Source organism: Homo sapiens, chromosome 2 (genome assembly GCF_000001405.40).
Source record: "Homo sapiens chromosome 2, GRCh38.p14 Primary Assembly".
NCBI classification, from domain to species: domain Eukaryota; kingdom Metazoa; phylum Chordata; class Mammalia; order Primates; family Hominidae; genus Homo; species Homo sapiens.
In genome coordinates this window covers 140,850,827-140,874,078 of record NC_000002.12, presented here as the reverse complement: position 1 = coordinate 140,874,078, position 23,252 = coordinate 140,850,827, and the positions used below count along the sequence as shown (strand labels likewise).

At 34.7% G+C, this 23,252-nt stretch overlaps 1 protein-coding gene across 3 annotated transcripts in view; it reads left to right on the top strand.

The window, feature by feature from the left end:
• Positions 1-23,252, top strand: part of LRP1B (LDL receptor related protein 1B) — a 1,899,594-nt gene that overhangs the window by 1,256,938 nt on the left and 619,404 nt on the right. For all 3 annotated transcript variants that reach the window (NM_018557.3, XM_017004341.2, XM_047444771.1), the window contains exons 26-28: positions 5,816-5,980; positions 6,245-6,489; positions 22,296-22,427. In NM_018557.3, coding sequence (NP_061027.2) covers positions 5,816-5,980; positions 6,245-6,489; positions 22,296-22,427 — 542 coding nt within the window. The remainder of the gene's footprint in view (positions 1-5,815; positions 5,981-6,244; positions 6,490-22,295; positions 22,428-23,252) is intronic.

Below are 23,252 nucleotides of genomic sequence, written 5' to 3'. Positions count from 1 at the left end.
CATGCTTGGACTTTCTGGTTTGTTCTGAACATCTGTGTTTCTTAAACAACCAGTCATTTTGTTCTAGGACTAAATCTACTATACAAGACTCTTTCTCATATAAAAATTATTTCTCTTTAAGCTTTCTTACCAAAAAAAAACCTCTTTATTTTTATAACTTTCTTTACATTTCTCTTATTTCCCCATTCCTTTTATCTTTTTTATACATAACCTTTAAATAAGCTTTGAATTAGAGAAAAATTTTTCACCTGTTTAAAAAGGACATACTTTTTTTGAAAGAATGTTTTCCTACCAATATACTTTTATTGAAAAATACCTAAATAATGAAATATATATTATTTAATATAACTTTAGGATCTAAATTATGATGAGTTTGTTTACAAGTATTTATCCCATTACATTTACCTAATTATTTTATTTTAATCATTTACCTGCATTATTTATAAAAACTGTGCTAGTCATCATTTAAAATTATGGAACTACCATTGCAAAATTATAACTGAGACAGTGAAAAATATCTGAACTAACTGGCTCCATCCTGTTTCTAACCTCCAAGCTGTCCTTGTTCATTTCTGGGTGTAGACCAAACTAACTTTGTATTTGTATTACTTAGTTTATAGTTTATAGTTTATAATTTAGCTTTGAAACAAAGACAATTACATTCCCTTCCCAAAACAAACCTTACTGCCTGTGGACTAGACTGCCTAAAGCCGCAAGATTAGAAGTTATGGTAATCTTACTAAATTTAAGATGCAGCTGTTTTTATTAAAATAATATTAATGTCTTATTTATTAAAGATCATGCAAGCAAAGATCATTCCGTCTTGGGCTGGGTTTATACTTTTGTAACCCCTATGGCAAATTTTGACACCTTATAATATTCGGCAGGGATAAGTAAGAAATTGCTTGATTAATAAATGCAAACAAAAATGTATTCTGGCAATTCTTAACACATTTCTAAAGTCTTAACTACTTTACCAAAAATTTTAAAGCTAGCTTATTTATTAAAGATTTTACTTGTTATGTAAACTGGAAAAAATATTTGACTAGTCTTTTTTTCCTGATAAAGTATTTGATTTAAGTACTTTTATTTTCTTAAACCAATTAATTAGAGCTCTTGTATATATTTTTAGTGGTGAAACATTGTGTACATGCACATAAATACATAAACATATTATGCTTGCTGATAGAAATATATCTTATAGATTCATAAAGACCTTTTTTTTTTCTTGTCTTAGACTTTCAGATTCATGATAACTTGTTTCACAACCCTAGGCAGTTGTCAGCTAAATAGCCTTAATTTTTCATATTAAAGGAAACAACTAAGGTGAAAATCAAATAGCAAAATTTACATCATAAGGTACAGAGAGAAAAAGTCTGGTGGTGCTAGAGGAAGATTAGAGATGGATGCCAAATCAAACATAAAATTAAACAAATCTATCATAGGGTTATATAAGGAGACCACATTTATTTAGATAGAGACTATCTATCTTTAACTGGACCTTTGAACTCTGGGTAGAGACCACACTGAATCCTGGGTCTCCAAAAGGGGAAAATTATTAAAAGGTTAAACCATGTGATGTGCTTACAGTTCATTACAAAAATAAATAAATAAAGACATTTCTAAGTGTCTAAACTACACTCTTCCTTACAAAACCAAGAGTAGCCTCTGTTGCAATAGCTACTTTAGTAAAAAAAAAAAAAAAAAAAAAAAAAAAATCAGGTGACACAATACAAAAGCAAGCAGCTTAAGAGCTGAGATGAACTTGTCTGTTCACACTCTTGAGATTCTGTAAGGAAAAACAGACGGTTTTCCCCGAAAGGGAGCCTGGTGCCTTCTCTGTTTTCTTTGAGGAACTCCAGACTATTATAAACTATTTTAGGTCCCTCATGCAGCAGGGGGTGAAAGAGAAGGGAAAGACAGCAGAAGTAAATAAAGAAAACAGAATTCAGTAAACTGAGAATAAAAAAACTTTTGCTCAAAAAAAAAAAAAAAATACAAGGTCCTAGGAGAGAAAAAAAAAAAAACATGAAGGACTTTTAAATACAAACACACACACACACACAAATAGACACACATAGACACATACACATACAAACACACACACCTCTTGGATGTTAGCTTTTAATTCAGCTGGCTTCTAACCATTGAGCTCCTTAAAAAATCTTTTAAAATGTCATTACCATATTTCAGCTAGGATAAATTGCTGCTATTTCAGAAGTACCAAGTATCAAACAAGAAAAGGCTTGATATAGGAACAAAACCCAGGCTGTCATGGTGGAAAAAAAAGAAGGCAGACCCTTAGCTATCAAACTGCAGCATGGGGTGACAGCCATTGCTCTTTCAGTTTGGCCTGGCTGGCAAAATGTTGGCCTTGTTATGTAAATAAAGCCCCTATAGTAGTCAAAATAAAAAATCTCCAAAATGTATTTTCCTTTCACATCTCCATGAAACTGAAATTATTTTAAAAAATAACTAATAGAAACCAATTGTTTGAAAGAAATTCTATGAGATGAATCTACTCCTATGATCTCTTGCCCTGAATCATATTTTCATGGCTTTGATTCACGTTTGCTTCATAAAATTAATCTACTTTCACATAGACACTGTTGTAGCATTTAAACATAGATATTAGTATTTTCTCTATCCCTTTTTCTCTCCCTTTCTCTGTTTCCTTAACAGTTAGCAAGACTGTGAAAATTTTCCTTTAAAAAATATTTATTCTCTATCAATATGTGTGTGAGCATGCATGTACAAACACAAATCTTTTCTCTGTGCTAATCATTCTGTGTGCTAAATTGTTTACATCCATTTTCTCACCTAATGTTCCCAACAAATGTGTACTATAATAGTTTTTATTTTCAGATGAGAAAATGGGGTTTGAGATTAAGTATGCAGAAGTAATTGAGAAATTCCAACTTTGATCCAAGTTTGTTTTACACAAAAGCACACACTACCACTATTTAATATTGACACAGTTATCTAATAACACTTACCAAATGTCAGTGTTTTAATTTATATAGGAAGTTCCACTCTCATCTTTCTTCCCTTTTTGCCATACTCTTTTAGCATATGTAATTACTATGTTTATAAACATAATGTTTTGAACTGTCCTCTAATCATTTCATATTTGTAATTTCTGTTTTCTGTAACAGACTATATTCTTTTCAAAAATAGAAGTCATGGTGAATATATCATTTCACATTTTCTTAAATAGACATAAATTTTTTTTAAAAGGAAGTGGATTAATTGAATTTTAAATTTTGTAAAGGATTGTTTCATTTTACAAGGTAATTTAGCAAATTGCTATTTTCAAGGATTATACAGAATAATAGAAGTCAAAAATAATAAAACTATATATAATTAAATGAAGAGAAAATTTATTTTTTTACCATTTCATAATTTTACCATTTATCAACAAAATATTGTCAGACCTGATAGAAAAATGTACTGCAACATTACTTTCTCTTTTTGATTACTACTGTAAGAGCAAAGGGAATTTTTCACTCCCTCTCTGAAGGTTCAAGTGTCCTGAAATAAACTGGCAGCAAATTAGCAGAAGAAAAGGCATACAGGATTACTAACATGCAAGTGTACATGGGAGCCATATAAAATAAAGAATCAGAGGACCAGATGGTTGAGGCTTATATACCCTCTTCATATGGGAGAGGGAAATGGGGAATGTAAGGCATTTTGAGGAGTGGTATATAATTTTCAGGGGAATTGAATGAGCTCAAACAATAGACAACGTCCTGGGCCAATGTTCCTCTGACCTCTGAGTGGGGTGGCTATAATTTCCAGAAAGGTGAAGGGCAGAACCTCACAGTCAACAAACATTGCCTTATGCAAATAAAGCCTCTCAGAAAATCTCTCAGAGCTTCCTTCAGAACAATAGATGAAAAGTCTGTCTGGGTGTGGTGATGAGTCTTTTTTTGTCTTTGTTGTTTAATCATTCCTGGATATTTATTGAGATTCCAAGGGAGGGGTTTTCAGACAGTTGCATTTCTTTTGAAAGAAGTTTTCTTCAGTCAAATAAGGGTACTTCCAGAAAGAGAGTCCCTCCCTTGTGTTTGGGGCAAAGAAGAGAGAAACAAGAGAAGGTTAGAATGTTCTTGAAAGGCAGCTTCCATGAACTTGCAATTTCCTTTAATTCAAAAAAGTGCTTAGCATGCCAAAGTACCATACTTTGGCATATTATTCTCTGAGCCCCAACATTGTCTACACCCATCAACGTTAAATTTTAAGCTCCTGAAATTTGTTCCTTTTCCATTTTTCCCTTTCACTTAGTGGAACCCCTATACACAATATCCTTCCCTCAATCTGAGATTGCTGAAACAAGAAACTGATGGTCTCCTGAGATTCTGTTTTTTATCTCATTTTTTACACCCAGTCCATCAGCTAGTCCTGACAATTCTACCTTCAAATTATATTTTGAATCAATTCACTTCTCTCCTTTATTGCCACCACCATACTCTAGACCACTATCATCTTTTCTGGTCTTTTATATAACCACTTAACATGCTTGTACTCTTGCCTCACTATTATCTATTCTCTGTATAATAGCCACAGTGATTAGACAGTATATCTGTTTTATCTGGTACAGTATATCCTGTGTATATACTGATTAGACAGATATACTGTCTCATCACTATTGTTGTGGGTTTTTTATTCCCCTAATTTGGCAGGCAGGAGTGTTACAGCTCTTTTCCTCCTGCCGCATGTAGCTTGGCAAGCAGGAGCATTACAGCTCTTTCACTCCTGCAGTTCAGCGAACTCCAGGCTCTTGTCCCATGACCAAAAGGAATAAAGTACATGCATACTAGAGAGGGAGTAAGGCGGAGTAAAATTTATTGAATGAATGAAAAGCTCTCAACAGCAAGAGGGGATTTGAAAGTGGGTAGCCTTCTCTGAGGCTGAGTCTGGGGTTTTTATGGGCTTCAAATGGGGGAATTCTTGCTGATTGGTTTATGGGTGGGCTTGGAAAAGGAATCATTCAATAGGTTAAAGGCATCATTCAGAAATAACCAATTAAGAGAGAGTGGGTAAGACATGGATGGAAGTTCTTACTCTGGTTCATGGATTCGACCCAGAACTGGTAGCCTGGTTTTCAGGCTTTAGACTGCCCTGGCTTGAAGGTTCAGTTTTACCGGGGACCCATTTCTGGCTGCTTGGGAATTTGTCTGTCTCCTGTCGCTGTCACTATGTCTGTATATATTTACTATACATAGAGAATAACATTTCTCCTCTACTTAAAAGCCACCAAAGGCCTATGCACTTCTTATTCCCTTAATATAAAATCCAGAATAATTCTCTTACCCTACAAGACCCATAAGATCACCTATTTGTCATCCTATTCCTCCCCTCTCTTCCTCACTCACTATGCTTCTAATACATTGGCCTTATTTCTGTTCCTCAAATAGCCCACATTCTTTTCCCTGTTAGGGCCTTAGCATATGTTGTTTATTCTACTTGCCATGCTCTTTATACTGCTCTCCTCATTCTTCAGTTTTAGTATAAATATCACTCCTCAAAGTGCTTTTTTCTGATCACCTTCTCTAAGTAGGTCAGTCACCTGCTATTCTCTCTCATAGCAATTTTTTTCAAAATATTTTATGAGTCATAATTATATATTTATGCACTTATTTAGTCTGGCTCCTCCACTGGACCATAAGCCCCACGAGGATAGATAATACATCTGTTTCTCTTGTGACTTATCACCTATCCAGTGCCTAGCATATGGTAGGCACTCAATAAATATCTGTGAAATGAATGACTGAAACAATAGTATTATTTCTTTTTTTTTTTTTTTTTTTAGAATTCTTTTCTGGACAGACTGGGATGCAAATTTTCCTCGCATTGAATCTGCCTCTATGAGTGGTGCTGGGAGAAAAACCATCTATAAAGACATGAAAACTGGGGCTTGGCCTAATGGACTAACTGTGGACCACTTTGAGAAAAGGATAGTGTGGACAGACGCCAGGTTTAAAAAATCATCTCTTTTCTGTATTTTTTTTTTTACTTAGATAATATTTACAACATTGGAAAGTGTCCTAACATGTCAGTATCATGTATACATATATTAAAATTGGAGGTGTATTTTTTTTTTGCTTGCCCCAAATCAGATACAGACCCATAAAAATATTTATAAAATACCTTTTTTGTCATTTAGCTGAGTTACATGATTATGTCTCTGGACTAGTTGAATGAGTTTTGACAAACTACTCATGTATTTATCTTTCTGTAGGTCAGATGCTATTTATTCAGCCCTCTATGATGGAACAAACATGATAGAAATCATCCGAGGTCATGAATACCTTTCCCATCCCTTTGCTGTGTCTCTATATGGGAGTGAAGTCTACTGGACAGACTGGAGGACCAACACATTGTCCAAAGCCAATAAGTGGACAGGGCAGAATGTCAGTGTGATTCAGAAAACCAGTGCACAGCCATTTGACCTTCAGATATACCATCCCAGTCGCCAGCCACAGGGTAAGTGCTTGTTCACTTATGGATTAACCACCCAGAAAGTATTATCATCTTAATCATATAATATTTGAAGTATAAAATAACTTCTATAAGTTAAAAGTTATTGACATTTTACGCATACTCTATGAGGGAAGTGGTTTCAACCTTTATTTTAACTGGTTTAGAATTTTTTTCTCTTTCCCTTTTTATTTTATTTACATATAAATATTTAGGGGCATCTTAATTCCTAAGATGCCCCTGTATATTTATTTTAAACTAAATCCCCTAATTTTTAGATTATTACCATGTAGCATATTGGGAAGAGAGGGGGTGGTACATGAGAAAGGGTGAACCATTTGCCTGAGTTCCTCTATTTTAGGAGAAGTGAGTTCACAGGCCCATATGTGCTACCTCTCCCCATGTATTCCGTATTTCACCTTTTGGTTCAACAGTGAACCCCATCTTGGTTTTGTGATTGTGTTTCCTCCACTCAATGTTTGCCAAGTGTTCCTATCCTAATTCTCACTTTTTGCCCCACTGGGATACCATGAGGTATCCCATTTGGTGTAACGTCAGCTCATCCTTTTATACTTTTTCCTCATTATATGTGATATAACCCTTGGAAATCTCATTTGAATGCAAACAATGACCCCTTTATTAGCATGTTTTCATTTTAGATTCATGATTCTTAGATGACAAGCTCTCTCTTGCATCTTCTCCTTCTCTTTCTTTTTCAGTGTGGAATAAGCAGACCTTCTAACTCATTGGCATGTAGGGCATTTGTTCCACACATCGAGCCTTATTTTTAAAATTTGTATTATAGTATCTTTTAGACTTGACTAAAACCAATTACCTCTCTGGTTGACAATATCACATGGCTCTCCTTTGTCTTTCTTCAGTGTGTTGCGTTCATTCTCCCTTGATACTATTTATTCTACCAAAATCTCATCTGCAAAATTTTCTGTGTCCTTTCTCTGACAATCTGATTGAATCTAGTTATTTTCCCAGATACTCTCAATTTCTCAGTTTCTATTTTCTTACATAATTGATCCTTCTTTGCTACATGGGAGTTTCTATACATATGGTTTCTATATCTACTGCTTACATAGGTGAGCAATAACTTTAATTTTTTTCTTCTACTCTTGACTTCTTTCACCTTATAAGCTAAAAAGCATGAGGACATTATAGAAAAAAGTATATAGATTAGTCATTTTTGCATTTAATAATGATTTAGTAGATATATTGAATTTGATTAAATTTAAATAAGGCAAGAAGTTATTATTCTGACCAGCAATGTGCCACTAGTATAATGAAAAAATACGCTTCTCTAGAATTTCCTTCAACAGAGGAATGCTTAGCTGTAAGCAAACACTGTAGATGACAAGCACTTATAAGATATGAATGGTTTTGATTATTTCAAGTGCAAAATTATTTACACAACTGTATTTTTGTCCCTCAGATTGTTTGGCATTTTGTAGTAATAATAATTTGTATGTTCAGTGCAATCTAAATGAACTGGACCATGAAAAATGGCCTTCATCTATGTATTGCATCATCTATGTATTGCATCATTCCTCCTCACCCAAAATAGGATCAATGTCCTTCTCCTTCATTTACTAACTGCACTGTCTAATTCGCCTGCATTGGCATGACCCTTAGTAAATTCATAGAACAGGAAGAACCACGATACTCTCAAGCTTTCCTGATATTTATGCATATATAGGAAAGAAACGAGACATTCATTGTCATTTTTTGGTGGGGGGAGGCATCCTTGACATCTTTCCTTAACTCAAAATATGATTTATATATGATTTTTCCTCTTTACATAAAATAAGCAAGATTTTACTATGTGGATGTAATTTAACATATTTTCCCAGGATTCAGGGCAAATATTCTAGTCTTTAAATACATTTAGAGAATATCACCTATGAAAAGAACTTGCTATTTCCTAAATGAAATTCAGTCAGTTTGCAATTTTGAGAGTGATCAGAGAACATTCTACCTTTCCCCATTATAAGGATCACTGAGCATATAATAATCATTATCTGTCCTGTTTATCTGCTTCAGTGAAGTAACACTTCCACTGCTAGGGAAAAAAGATGCAGGAACATATCGACTATTTTATTACCGAGGATAGAATTAAAATGAAAATGGTGACAAAGGCTCAGCATTAACACAAATACAATAATAATAGCCCGTATTCTGGTGAATAATAACATGATGTTCATGAAACAAATAATAAATTTAAAAAATACATGACATTCAGTACTATAAAATTGAAATATATCTTTCACAAATTAAAGAAATAAAGGTTACAAATACTATTTGCCATTATCTAATCCTCCAAGTAGGAAATTAATAAAAGTTTCAGCACCAGTTTTCTTACAAGTAAGCATTCATTATGCACACAAAGTTCCAAATTGGTTATTGGATATTTAAGCAGAATATTTTAGAAATATATTTTAGATCTCTTTGGTTTTTAATGTTGTTGTTATATGGGATTAGGAAGAAACAAACCACAGCTTAAACATATGCAATATGAAGGAGCAGTAGTGGGTATTTTAAATATTAATTAGAAAAATTTACAGCATGAGGGAGCCAAGCTTAGAATTAATGGCATGGCCTGGGTTCAAATCCTAAACATATGATTTATTAATTGCGTGATGTACCCTTCATCATTAGCATAGTTTTATTTCAGATTCATGAGTCTCAGCTATTAATGTGTTATTGGACATTATTGGCAAGTTATTTAACTTCTCTGTATCTGCTTTTTCAAACTGGAGATAATGTATCTAAATCATAGGATCTTGTAAACGTTGAGTTTAATCACCATTTAACACAATGTAGGTTTTTCTTTAAGTTAAAAATATATAATTCACGAAGCCATCTAATCTAACTATATTTTTATCAGTAAAATACAACTATTAATTAAGTTTCAGGTATATTAAAAAATAATAGCAACAATAACACTCATTTACAATAAACACTTTTTGGGTCATGTGTTAGTTTTTCTTTGGATAATGAGATCTGGGATTATATAATGAAGCATTAAATAAAAATGGTTTTGTGATTATGACTTTGTAATATAAATGTGCACTTATATCATTTTTATTAGTACTTTACAGTTGTTAGTCTCAATGTGTGCAAAGACTTGCAGGAACAATTCTCCATCTAAGACTCCTTCTCACACATACCAATTATAAATTCTTATACTAGCTCAAATTTTACCTCCTCTACATTCATAGTTAACACCATAAGGACTCAGCATTTAAAGCTTGTATGGTTATTTATTTATTTATTCATTAATCATTTCCTAACTCTGTCTTACCTACTCGCCTAGATTATAAAATATTTAAGGAACAGTGTTTCATTTATTTCTTTGTGTCAACTATAGAGTCTAGCTAAGTCCTTGATAACAATATCGATAATTATAATAGCAGCTAACTTGATTATCATTGCATTTCCGTGAGAAAAATTGTTAGCCATCCAGTTTCACAGATGAGGAACCTAAGACAGAGAAATACTAAGTAAATTGCTCAAGGTCTAACAGCCAGGGGATAATCGTTCTGTTATCTGAACAGAAGTCTGAAGCCAAGCTTTTGTTTTACTCACTGCATTCTGCAAGCAGAAGACATTAAATGCACATATATTCCTCTTGGAATTGTTGCATCATATCACCAGATGGCAGTAGAGAGTCATGTTTTCTTGACATTCTCCTTGGACAAACTTCCTTACCTTCCTGGAGTTTATAGTCTAAGAGGAGGAACAGACTAAATTAACAATTAGGATAGATACAATCATTGTTATGATAGATGGATTTTGAATGTAAGAGTATAGTAAATGAAATTTAAAAGTAGCAGGGTGTGGTACTAAAAACGAAACAAACCTTGGGATTAGCTAAGTTTAATTCTTCCCTCATGTCAGTCACTAGCCATGTTACCTGAGGCAAATTACTAACTTGGAGGGGTTGCATTTTCACATTTGCAGATCGAAGCAGCAAGTGAGGAAAGAATAAATCAGAGACAAGATTGGGCAGGGGTCAGATCATGCTCACACTCAAATAATATCCCCACAAAGAAATACACAGTTTTTTCCTCTGGGATAAATGGTTCCAATGATGTTAAACATAAGTGTGCATTAAAATTAATGGAGGGCTTATTAAAACACATATTGGGGGGCGTTACCCAGAGATTCTGATTCAGTAGGTCTTAGGTGGGGTTTGACATTTTGCATCTTTAACAAATTCCCAGGGGATATGATGCTGCCTTCAGAACCATTCCTCTAAGAAAAGGAGAGAAACAATTTTTTAAAAAATGGTCAAAGGAGTAAAAAGAACAGATTTGCATGATAGAAATTTGTAAAGGATTGATTGGAGAGACAGGATTGAAGTGTATATGTGTGTGTATGTATGTATAGAATATATATGTGTGTGTGTGTAACACATATATATATATACACACACACAGACACACAGAGATAGAGAGATTGATTTTAGAAAGTAACTCATATGCTTATGGAGGCCAAGAAGTTCCACAACCTACTGTAGGCAAACAGGAGAACCAGGAAAACCAGTGGTGTAACTCAATCCAAATCTGAAGGCCTAAAAACCAGGAAGGGTAGGTGGATAATGGCATAAGTCCAGGTCCAGGAGTTCACAGGCCCAGGAACCAGGAGTGCCAATTATGGAGTGTAGGATAAGATATATGTCGTAGCTCAAACAGGAAACAAACTTGCCTTTCCTCTACCTTTTTATTCTATTTCGGCCTTCAACAGATTGGATGATGCTTCCCTGTAATGGCAAGGGCAGGAAACTTCTAACCCAGTATACTAATTCATATACTCATCTCTTCCAGAAACACACCCAGAAATAACATTTTACCAGCTATCTAGACATTCTCTAGACTAGTCAAATTTACATATAAAGATAACCATTACAGGAAGCTACTTCAGTAGATCAGGAGGTGGCTGATGCCAAAATCTGGGAGATGCTTGTAGGTGAAATGGTCTCTGATGAGATATACTTAGAGTTGAAATCATTAAAAAGTGGTGATAGAGATTTGAGTGGGAAACCTGGGGAAAGGAGGAAGAATATGGGATGGCTTTAAGAGAGAGGGTCAGCAAATGTATTCTGTGAAAGGCCAAATAATAATAATGAATATTTGAGGACTTGTGGGCCATGTGTTCTCTGTTGCAGTTACTCTGCTGCAGTTGTAATGTGAAAGCAGTCATATGGGAAATGAATAAGTGTGGCTGTGTGCCAATAAAACTTAATTTCTGGACACTGAAATTTGAATTTCATACAAGTTTTATGTGCCATGAAATAGTATTCTTCATTTGGTTTTTTTTTCCAACCGTACAAACAAGTTGCTCACCGGCCAGTATTAGCCTTTAGGCCATCATTTGCAGACACTTCACTTAAAGGATTATCTGAAAAATTAAACTTTGAAATGTGCTGAATTTGAGATACTTCTGGGATACAGTTGAATATTTAAGGCTAAAAAGGAAGGAAGCTTTGGTCTAAAACTAGAACTTTCATAGTTATTCAATTGTAGATTGAAGGCAAAATGTAGATAAGATTTCTTAAGAGTATTACAGAAAATGAAAAAGGGCAATGATAGAGCCTTGGAAACTGCAACACTAAAAAGGAAGGCAAAGAAGAATGCTCAGAAAAAGGGCACCAACAGATTTCAGGACAAAAAGAGAAAGCGTGTGCATGCGCACACACACACACAAAAGGAACAGTTTCAAGCTAACACTAGCCAACAGTATTTGCTTTTGTAGAAAAGCCAATAAAAATAAAGACATAAATGCATTCATTGGATTTGGCAACCTGGAAAAAGGTCAGTGATAATTTTAGTGAGAGCAATTTCAGTGGGTTTGTTTGCATATGTCCTCGTGATCCTAAATAGGTCTGACATTAGCTATTAGTATAACTTTCAACTCTTTTTACTACAAAATATAATTTACTAAATAGAACTAGATTGTTCAGTCAAACAGTAAATTCCAAAAAAAATACCTTCATAGCAATCAGCTTAGTCTAGAGCCAGATTGCTTGGGTTCAAATTCCAAATTTGTCAAATCCTGACTTCTTGTGCATTAGTATTAGTTTGTTTCTCTACATTAGTATTTGTTTGTTTGCTTGTTTGTAAATCTGTAAAATGGAATTGTTATAAAGATTAAATACATCAGTCTTTCTCTTTGTTTTTTGAGATGGAATCTCACTCTGTCTCTCAGGCTGGAGTGCAGTGGCACGATCTTGGCTCACTGCAACCTCCGCCTCCCAGGTTCAAGCGATTCTCCAGCCTCTGCCTCCCAAGTAGCTTGGATTACAGTCACGTGCCACCTTGTCCAGCTAATTTTTGTAATTTTAGTAGAGATGAGGTTTCCCCATGTTGGCTAGGCTGATATTGATCTCCTGACCTCAGGTGATCTGCCCTCCTCGGCTTCCCAAAGTTCTGGGATTACAGGCGTGAGCCACTGCGCCCGGCCACATTAGTCTCTTTTAGGCAGTTAGAAGATACCTGGCAAGTACTAAGCACTTTAAAAGTGTTTGTTAAATAACTTAAATAGATAAATTAGATAAATTAGATAGATAGATAGATAGATAGATAGATAGATAGATAGATAGATAGATAGATGCACAATTCTCTTACTTCGTTTTACACATTGCCGCCAAACTCTCCTCCCCCACCCTGTAAGGGAGTTGTCTGTAACCATGGAGAAAGTGAAATCTAACTCTTCTTTTGTATGCTTCTTCTCTACCACCCATCTACCATGTCATTTTTCTCTGTGTCCTCACTCAGCCCAAAGGTGTTTTCTTCATCACCACTCCAGGTGCAGGGTTAAATTTTCTCATAAACCCAGCAAGAATCTACCACCCTGGGTTTTTCTGTTTTCTTTTGTGTTTCTTTCCTTAGCTGCTCTAATTGGAATTAAAAAAAAAAAATCTTTCAAGAATGTGATTGTTATTTTAATTACAGAGTGCTGCAAACCCTTTATCTGTTAGATTTTCACCAATTATGTTTTTCTCTTTTTGTAGAAACTTATTTTTCATGTAAACAGAACTTGGTTTAAAGGGGTCTTAAATGTTTGTTGATAAAAATAGTACTATTTTTGCAGGAACATTTTAGTTTACTTTCAAAGTCAGGCTACTGACTCAACTGCTCCTTTTAAATTTTATTTTGAAAACATAGCAACTAGTAAATATACAAACTGTTTTAGATAATAATATGACTTCCTTTTAAAAAAGAATCAAAACCCAGAAAAAGAGAGAATGAGTAAGACATTGAGAGGTTTCTCCACAGTTACAACAATAATTAGATCAAATGTAATCATACCAGTTATACTCTAACTCAGTCTCCATTTCACATCCCTGTTTTATAAGACATCCATCAATTGGCCCATGAATGAACGAGTGAATAAATCAGAATGAATTGCTTCACATAGAGAGGTTGTGTACTGTAGTAGTTAAAACCTGGACTCTGGAACCTGAATCTTTCTGTTCTCCTTTTAATACTTGTGTGATCTTGACTGAGTCTTTTTTACCTTCTCAAAGTTAAGTTTAGCCTTTGCAAAATGAAGGCAATTTTTTTTTAATTTTTATTTATTATTTATTTTTTGAGATGGAGTCTCGCTCTTTCACCCAGGCTGGAGTGCAGGGGTGCGATCTCCGCTCACTGCAAGCTCCGCCTCCCGGGTTCACACCATTCTCCTGCCTCAGCCTCCCGAGTAGCTGGGACTACAGGTGTCCGCCGCCACACTCGGCTAATTTTTTTGTATTTTTAGTAGAGATGGGGTTTCACCGTGTTAGCCAGGATGGTCTCGATCTCCTGACCTCATGATCCGCCCACCTCGGCCTCCCAAAGTGCTAGGATTACAGTCGGGAGCCACCGCACACGGCCAGGCAATTTATTTTCATAAACAAAGGTTACCATTAAGAGGAATAAATAAAATAATGCTTATAAAACACTTGGCACATTTTCTAGCATAATATAATAAAATAAATTATTTCTTTAACTTTTAAAATCATTTTTTTTAAAATCCCACTGTCCATTATAGGAAAATTGCAAGCTGTTTCTCAAAAAGTAGTTTAACATCGAAATGATTTAAGTGCCTCCAATTGCATCAGAAAAATATGTCTATAGAAAATTAAACTTTTCTTGACAACATCTATAAGAAAACAGGATAAGCTTATTTCACAATAAAAAATGTTATATTTTAAGAATATTATTGATACTCCCTCACTAATTCACTCCTTAGAGGACAAAGTATCACTTACAAAACCTGAAGGATGAGGGATTTCATATAGGACTATTAATATTTTCAATTAGAATTATGGGGAATACTTTTCACATGATTAATAAAAGGTTTTTTTTTTCTTTTTTGTCAAAAAGAAATACCCTCAAAAACATGTTGCAGCATGGTGGAGGTGAATCTCAAATACTTGCAGGTTGCTTAAATTATTTGCTTCCACAATTTACTATATTAAGATCTAGGCCAGTCCCGATGGCTGACACTGGTAAACCCAGCACTTTGGGAGGCCGAAGCAGGCAAATCACTTGAGCTCACAAGTTCAAGAGCAGCCTGGGCAACATGGTGAAACCCTGTATTTTCAGAAAAAAAGAAAATCTAACTAGGCTGGATAAAGATAATGTGGTACATATACACCATGGAATACTATGCAGCCATAAAAAGGAATGAGATTATGCTCTCTGCAGGGACATGGATGGAGCTGGAAGCCATTATTCTCAGCAAACTAAAGCAGGAACAGAAAACTAAACACCACATATTCGCACTTATAAGTGGGAGCTGAACATTGAGAACACATGGACACATGGTGGGGAACAACACACACTGGGGCCTGTCGAGGGGTGGGGATAGGGGAGAGAGAGCATCAGGAAAAATCGCTAATGGATACTAGGTTTAAAACCTAGGTGATGGGTTGATCTGTGCAGCAAACCACCATGGCACATGTTTACCTATGTAACAAACCTGCACATCCTACACATGTACCCTGGAACTTAAAAAGAAAAAGAAAGATCTAACTACTTGTCATATAAATTAAATTTCTCTTTCTCTTTCCTTTCTCTCTCTCTCTCTCTCTCTCTCTCTCCATATATATAAAATATATATTATATATAAAATAATTTTTTTAGCAGAGTTGATAATGTAGGATAGAGGTTATACACGTACATACATACATACATACATAATACATTGTATTGTTCTCCTCACTGTTAACTCGTATCTAGCATCTCTTTATTTCATATATTTATATACTATCGGTATGAGATTTATGTGATCTAACATGTATCCTATTTTAAAATGCAGAATCCCTAGTTCTACTCCAAAATCAGGGCTTCTCAGTGTCTGCACATTACATATTTTGGGCCAGATAATTCTTTGCTAGTTGTGGGCTAGATAGTTCTCAGCTACACTTCCTGTGAATTGTACAATGTTTATTAGATCCTTCACCTCTGTTCACTAAGATGCCAACAGTACTCCAAGTCATAACAACCAAAAATGTCTCAATTTATTCCCAAATGTTTCTTGGGAGGCAAAATCACCACCATCTCCAAGGATTGAGAACCACTGTCCTAGATGGTTTTTTAAAATATTGTGAATATAGAATCATTGTAAAAATAGAAACTTCCCTGATATGTTTTTTTTTCTTTCAAAGCATGTAACAAGTGACATTAACAGAGAATAAATTAAGATACCAGATAGACATGTCATCTCTTTAGAACGACTGAAAGTTAGTTGGTATTTTAAGACACATTTCCCCTATAAATGTAACATTATATTGCATATATATTTTCATCCTTTTACACCAAAAGCTGCATACAGATAGAAATGTTTTTTGTGGTTTTTAAAAACTCTCTCTGTAGAGATACCTGTAAAAGATCAGATGAAATTTTTAGACATGTTATATTCTACTTTATACAGTACAGTATAAAATTAATTCATAAAGTATGACATAATTTGAGGAACATTGCTCCCTCATAAATAATACTGTTAGAATCTGGTGAAAGTAAAGCATGCTTTACTTGCACATATTTTAGGTGTATATATTTTAAATAAGGAATTCACTCAAGTTCTTCAATGTGAAATGTTAAACTTATCACTTGAAGATGTCTGTCATAGGGAAAATAGGATTTCAGATTAGTGGTTAATTGCAAAGTACTTCTGAAAATTCCTTTCTTTAAAACTAATAAGTCCTTTCCTAAAGGAAAATTACTAATAAACATTATTTTATTACAAGAGTAATTGTTCTCATACAAATAAGGTTCATTAACAGGATGAATATTAGTTACTATCAAAAATGACTACATGGGAGGGAGAAAAATCTTTCTCTACCTAACAAATTGGATCCTGGCATTCTGCTTTGAGCATGATTTTATTAGGTAAACAAATATACATATTTTATATTGCATGAACATTTATGTGTATTTTATTTGAATTTATTGGAAAAACTGGTTGTTTGGATTTAAAGTGTTTTTTTCTTTTCCCTGGTGAGAAACGGACTATAATTAAATACAGTTTGAATCAAATGTGAAATTATATTTAATGATATTATTTTTCTTCCCAGAGCACACATCAGTCTTGTGTGATTGCACAATTAACACATTTCTCCTATGAAGTATTGTAGTTATGCATTATTTAATCTTTTCACCTGAAGCTATGATGTGCTTTAGAAAATTAACTTTCTAGATTTTTAGATTGCTGCAATTTTAGAATATATACCCACATACATTTACGTACATGCATATGAATCCAAATGTCCCTACCTCTAACACAATAATAGATACCATAGAAATTTTAGGAAAAAACAATGTGTGTGTGTGTGTGTGTGTGTGTGTGTGTGTGTGTGTGTGTATCTCTCTTAGTTCCCGCCAGCGTATCACCTGTCTAGCTCAGAGAGTGACAAAGTACAACCCTCAGGCTAAATTCAGCCCTCTGTCTTGTAAATAAAGTTTTATTTTCACACAGTCACACCTCTTCATTCACGTATTGTTTTGTGGCTGCTTTTGTGTTATAGTAGCAGAGTTGAATAATTACTATGGAGAACATAAAGCCTGCAAAAGTCCAAATATCTACCATCTGGCCTTTAATAGAAAAAGCTTGCCAACCACTGGTTTAGCTAGAAAGACCAACACATACTAATACAAAATATATGAACAAATGTCACTAATTAGAAAATAGGACAGCAAGCAATAAATTGTCTAATTGCTGTGTAAAAGCAATAATTATAACCAATATTTCGTGATGAAAGAAATCAGCATTAGCTGGCTTCATTAGAAAATGTTTTACGGCAGAAAGATGAATTGAGCTGAGACATGAAGGAAGGTTAATGTAAAGATACTGATGATGAAATTCTAGGGGAAGAAAAGTACATCATGTGGAGGTGGAAAAGAATATAGATATTTAGGGAATAGTGACGAATACATTTTAGTGTGTACACAATGTGTATGTAGAAGGAAAGTGGTAGATGAGGCTTGGAAGATAGATTTGTGTTTTTGAAAGAGAGGTGGGTATATTTGGGACAGTATCACAATGTACCAGATACATAGCCATAGCAATCATTCAAAGGTGAGGAAATGAATTTGGAAACATGTTGGAGGAGTAGAGGTAAAAAGAAAGGAAACACGTATTAGAGAAAATCTGTACAATACTTGAGAAAGGATTAAATTTGGCAGTGAAAATGAAATAAAAAAATGCTTTGGAGTAAAAATTTTGTGTTTTTGGAAGGTTTATGATTTCTGTTTTGTTTTTTGTTTACCTGCTTTTAGAGACAGTCTCGCTCTGTGGGCCAGGCTGGAGTGCAGTGGTATGATCATAGCTCACTGCAACTTCAAAATCCTGGGCTCAAGGGATCCTCTTATCTTGGCCTCCCAAAGCCCTGGGATTACAGATGTGAGCCACCATACCTGGCCTTGATAACTTCTTTAACAAAAATAAACAAGAGAGTGGATCAGAATAAAGAGCTGGAGGGTAAATGGTAGTAGCAGGGAAACCAGTCTGACTAGTGCTGAGGATTCTTGGGGGAAACATTAATAGTAGGAGATAAAGCCGACACTTTGTGAGGTAGACTGTGGGAAGCCATTCAAATTTTTTTTTTTTCCCAGTAGAGATGGGACCTACCTGTCTTGCCTAGGCTGGTCTCTAGCTACTGGGCTTAAGCAATCCTCCCACTTCAGCCTCCCAAAGTGCTGGGATTATTGGCGTGCCTGGCCCCAAATTTTTAAAGAAACCAGATATAATCAAGTATGTGTTCTACAAAGACAACAACTGTATGTAATGCAGGGATACTAGATATCAAAGATTAGTTAGGAGTTTAGCGCAACAATCCATGCAGGAAATGGAGAAAACCTAAATTGAGCCAGTGACCATAGAATTGAAGAGAGTTGAGTACCAGGTTAGTGTATAGAACCTTAAGCACCTTGGGGTAAGAACTCGTCCACTATTGTATCTCAGCTTTTTTTCACAGTGTTTTAAACAACTAGATACTTCATAATGTTTTATTTAATGCATAAATAAAAGGTGGGGGTTATTACAGGTATATCTCTAAGGTTCTATATTTCATCAGTTTGAGTTTAGACAATATGAGCTATCAGTGAACCCAGTCTGCCCAGCTGTATTTATATTTCATCTGTTAAGATTTATTATAGCACTCCATTGATCAATGGCTTTCCCATCTTTTGAATACAAATACATGGAATAGGCTTGGCTTTGGTAGAAGTTTATAGCCTCTGTAATCATACTGGATTTTGCAGTAGTGTCTCTTATAAAATAGCTACTTACTATCTAATTATAATAGGTACATATTATAAGGCTTTGTGGGCCATGTGGTTTTTATTGAAGCTGTTCAATTCTACTATTGCAGTATGATAACAGCCATGGCTAATATGTAAACCAATGCACGTGGTTATGTTTCAATAAAACTTTATTTACAAAAACAGTCAGTGGACCAGATTTGTCTCATGGGTTCGTGTCTGCTAATCCCTGCTTTCTATAAAAATGTGAGTATTATGAACAGTATTTTTAAATTTGGTAATTGGAATAGAATAGGTAGCTGTGTTCAAGCACTTGTTTGGAAAGAAACTTTGAAATAATATTGTTAAATCCTTGAAAGTGAGAAGAGATGAAAATGAAAAGTAAGAATTCTTTGTGGATTTTTCAATCTATGAAGCACAAAATATTGTGAATTATACATTACAGTGTTATCATTGATAAGATATTGGGCTACAAAGTCAATGCAATTTTTAATTTTAGTATGTACATAGAAACTTAATATCTCTGCCTTCAAAAATATATATTTTTTCATAATTGTAGGGTGTTAAGGGTTGGTATGATTCTGGCCTAAAAATAATGATGTTCAAAGTGAAATTCAAGTACCTACCATTAGACTGTTATGGATTATGCTTTTAATTTTCCTGAGAAATAGCATTTCCTATGCTAGTGTTTTTGAACAAACTTTTTTTTCCTTCTTGTCTTCCCTTTTACTCCTCTCTTTTTTCTTTTCTCCTTCATTTTCTTCTTTTTTTTTTTTTTTTATTCAGATATGGGGGAATTTGAGTTTTCTCTTTCTATCTACCTGACTAGGTAAACTTGACTTGATATATGACACTTAACACTGCCTCTTACTCACTCCTCCTCCTGTCCTGCAACACCTTTCTGCCTTCCCTTCCCACCTACTTTCTTGCTTCTCTAACTTGCGATTCCTTAGGGACTTCAATTATTATAACAGACAAAATCAAAAGATAACAAAGAACAAAATAAGAACTACTTACTCTGTGTGACAAAAGAAGTGCAGTAGAAAGGAATCTCTGGAACAAAAGCTTCTACTCTTTTCTATTATCTTTTGTTCTTAATTTTCTTAGGAGAATGAGTTTTTTGTGAGTCTCTTATTCTCCTTTATTTATTTATTGTTTTTAACAAATACAAAGACACTATTACTTTTATCATCTTGATGTAAGGAATGTTAAAAATTGCCAAAAGCTGCATTGAATATTTATCAAATTCAGTTCATTTCTCATATCCTCTACCTTTTTATTATCTCTTTTTTATTCTTTGTGTTTTAAAACACCACAGGACTGCTATTTACTTCTGTAAGAGGGAGGAAATACCTTTTCTCTACCCATCTCAGGTTCATGGCTGAGGTCTGTAACGAAAGACAGATTACCCAAAAAAGTACACAAACTTAATACAAGTATTATATGACATAGGAGCCTTCTGAGGAAATAAAGACCTGAAGAAATGGTTAAAATCTCGGTAGTTTTATGCTAGGAGGTATGATCTAATGGTAATAAACTGGGGAAACTTAGCAAGGCCTGTTGTTCAGATTCTTTTCTGTGTCCCTGTGTCTTCAGAGACAAGGATATTCCTTTCCTCAGGGCTTAGGAAGGGCACCTCTACATGAGAGTTTGTGACCTGCTTCAGGGGAGGTCAGAAAATCCTTTCTAGCTTTCATGACCTGTTTCAGGAAAGAGGGGTGGAGGGAAGGTCACAGAGACCTTCCTGCTTCTGTCATTTTCTAATGGGCAAAGGTGGCATATTGGGCATGTCTCAACCCTATCACTACTTTGAGCAAGGGGACATGGTTGGAAGATACCACTCATGAGTTGAAAGCTAACATTTTCTTGATGGGGCTACAAGAATAACGCTTTTTTGCCTTCAATTTCGTAGCCTAGTTCTAGTGACTTTTTTCTACTAGATAGGTTCTATAAAAATAAGATTAAAGATACTAGATAAATTAAAATCTTATCCAAAAGACATGATGACAGAACAAGGAACATAAAATTCAAAATGTCCCAAGACATTCAGTGCTGTCACAGAATGACATTGAGCTGCAAAATTTAATATTCTGTTCTCAATTTGAAAAATCATAAGTCATTTATACAAGGGAATTGAGTAAGTATGTACATGTGGAGCAATCCTTAGCCATGGAATTAGTTAATACAGAAAAAGTAACAAAGAAGTAGATGACTTAATCATGAAGGCAGACAGACATTTCTTCACATAGGCCTCATTTGAAGAAGAGCACGTGTTTGAAGGAAAGGTATATATGTACCAGTAGTTTCCTAGGGAAGCCTCTAAAAGTGGTGTGCCAAGGCAAGAAGGGAACCTTCATGGTTGGTTAAGAAAATAACAACATCTATTGCAACTTCCAATGTCTGGGTTATAGTCTATCTTAGTTTATTTTATATTAAATTCACTAATTATTCCTGGTTGCTCCTCAAACTAACTCCTTAAAAAGTCTTGACGTCTTTTTTTGTTTGTTTCTTTTTGAGATGGAGTCTCACTCTGTCACCCAGGTTGGAGTGTGGTGGCGCAGTCTTGGCTAACTGCAACCTCCGCCTCCCGGGTTCAAGTGATTCTCCTGCCTCAGCCTCCTGACTAGCTGGGACTAGAGGTGTGTGTCACCACGCTCGGCAAATTTTTTGTATTTTTAGTAGAGATGGGGTTTCATGGTGTTAGCCAGGATGGTCCCAATCTCCTGACCTCGTGATCTGCCTGCCTTGGCCTCCCAAAGTGCTGGGATGACAGGCGTGAGCAACCACATCCGGCCACTACCTCGAAGCAATAGGATGCATGCCATTTGTCTAAGAGAGAATTGATGGAGTTTTCTTAGTTATCTTTGAAATAATGTTTTTTTATTAATGTAATTGCTGTGTATGATTGTCTATTATTGTCATATTAATCACCCTACTAATGGGTTCTATGTAGGAAACTTTACTTTGAATCATTAGGTGAATAACCCCTGTCAACCTCAGAGCTTCCCTAATACATTCTTCCTTCTTCACTGTTCATATTTCACTGTGTAATTACAGCTCCCAATCCTTGTGCAGCTAATGATGGCAAAGGCCCCTGCTCTCACATGTGTCTAATCAATCACAATAGGAGTGCTGCCTGTGCGTGCCCCCACTTGATGAAGCTTTCTTCAGACAAGAAGACCTGCTATGGTAAATTTCTTACAGTTCTAATCGAAAATAAAAACAAAATTGAATTCTCTCAAATTATATTAGCATTCAGATTTTACTCATATTAAAGCAGAGGAAGTTTTTTTTTCTGTTTTCAAAAATATTTTAGGTGGTGGTGCTATTTCCATCCACTATTGATGATTCATCTGCTCTGGGGAAGACTGACAAATTCTTTAAATATGTGATATGTTGTACTTTGTTATTTGTTACCTTATTGATTTTTTTTCCTGCTACTTTCTTATTTGGTACGTTAGCAGAGTTTATCTCTGCAAAACAGGAAGATTTTTAAGTGAAAGTGCATTATCAGAAAATGATGATGTAGGTAACCTGCATAACAAAGAGGCGCTTAACAGCTTTAATCTGCTCTTCTAAAGTCACTCTAGCATCATTTGGTACAGGATTATCAACTTGAAAGGGGGAAAAGTGAAATAAAATATATAACTTGGAAAGATTTGTAAAAAAAACTCCACACATTTAAACAATGCATTTGAACTAAAAAAGATAAATTTTGTGAATAAAATTTTTTGCTTTCTATTAATAATTTTATTTATTTGCAAAATATTACTTAATTTTAAGGACAGAAAAAAAGTACTCACCAAAATTTAAAAGTCAGGAGTTTAGGTACATGTAGCTTTAATTTACACCATAATAACATATCTCAACACCAATAACCTGAAAGACAACAACAACAAAATAGAATATCTGTAACTACTATTTCTATTGGCTCTGATATTTTACAAATGTAGTGCAAGGAAGTAAAGTGATATAACGCCTCACAATGTTAGTTACTACAAATTTACAAAAAAA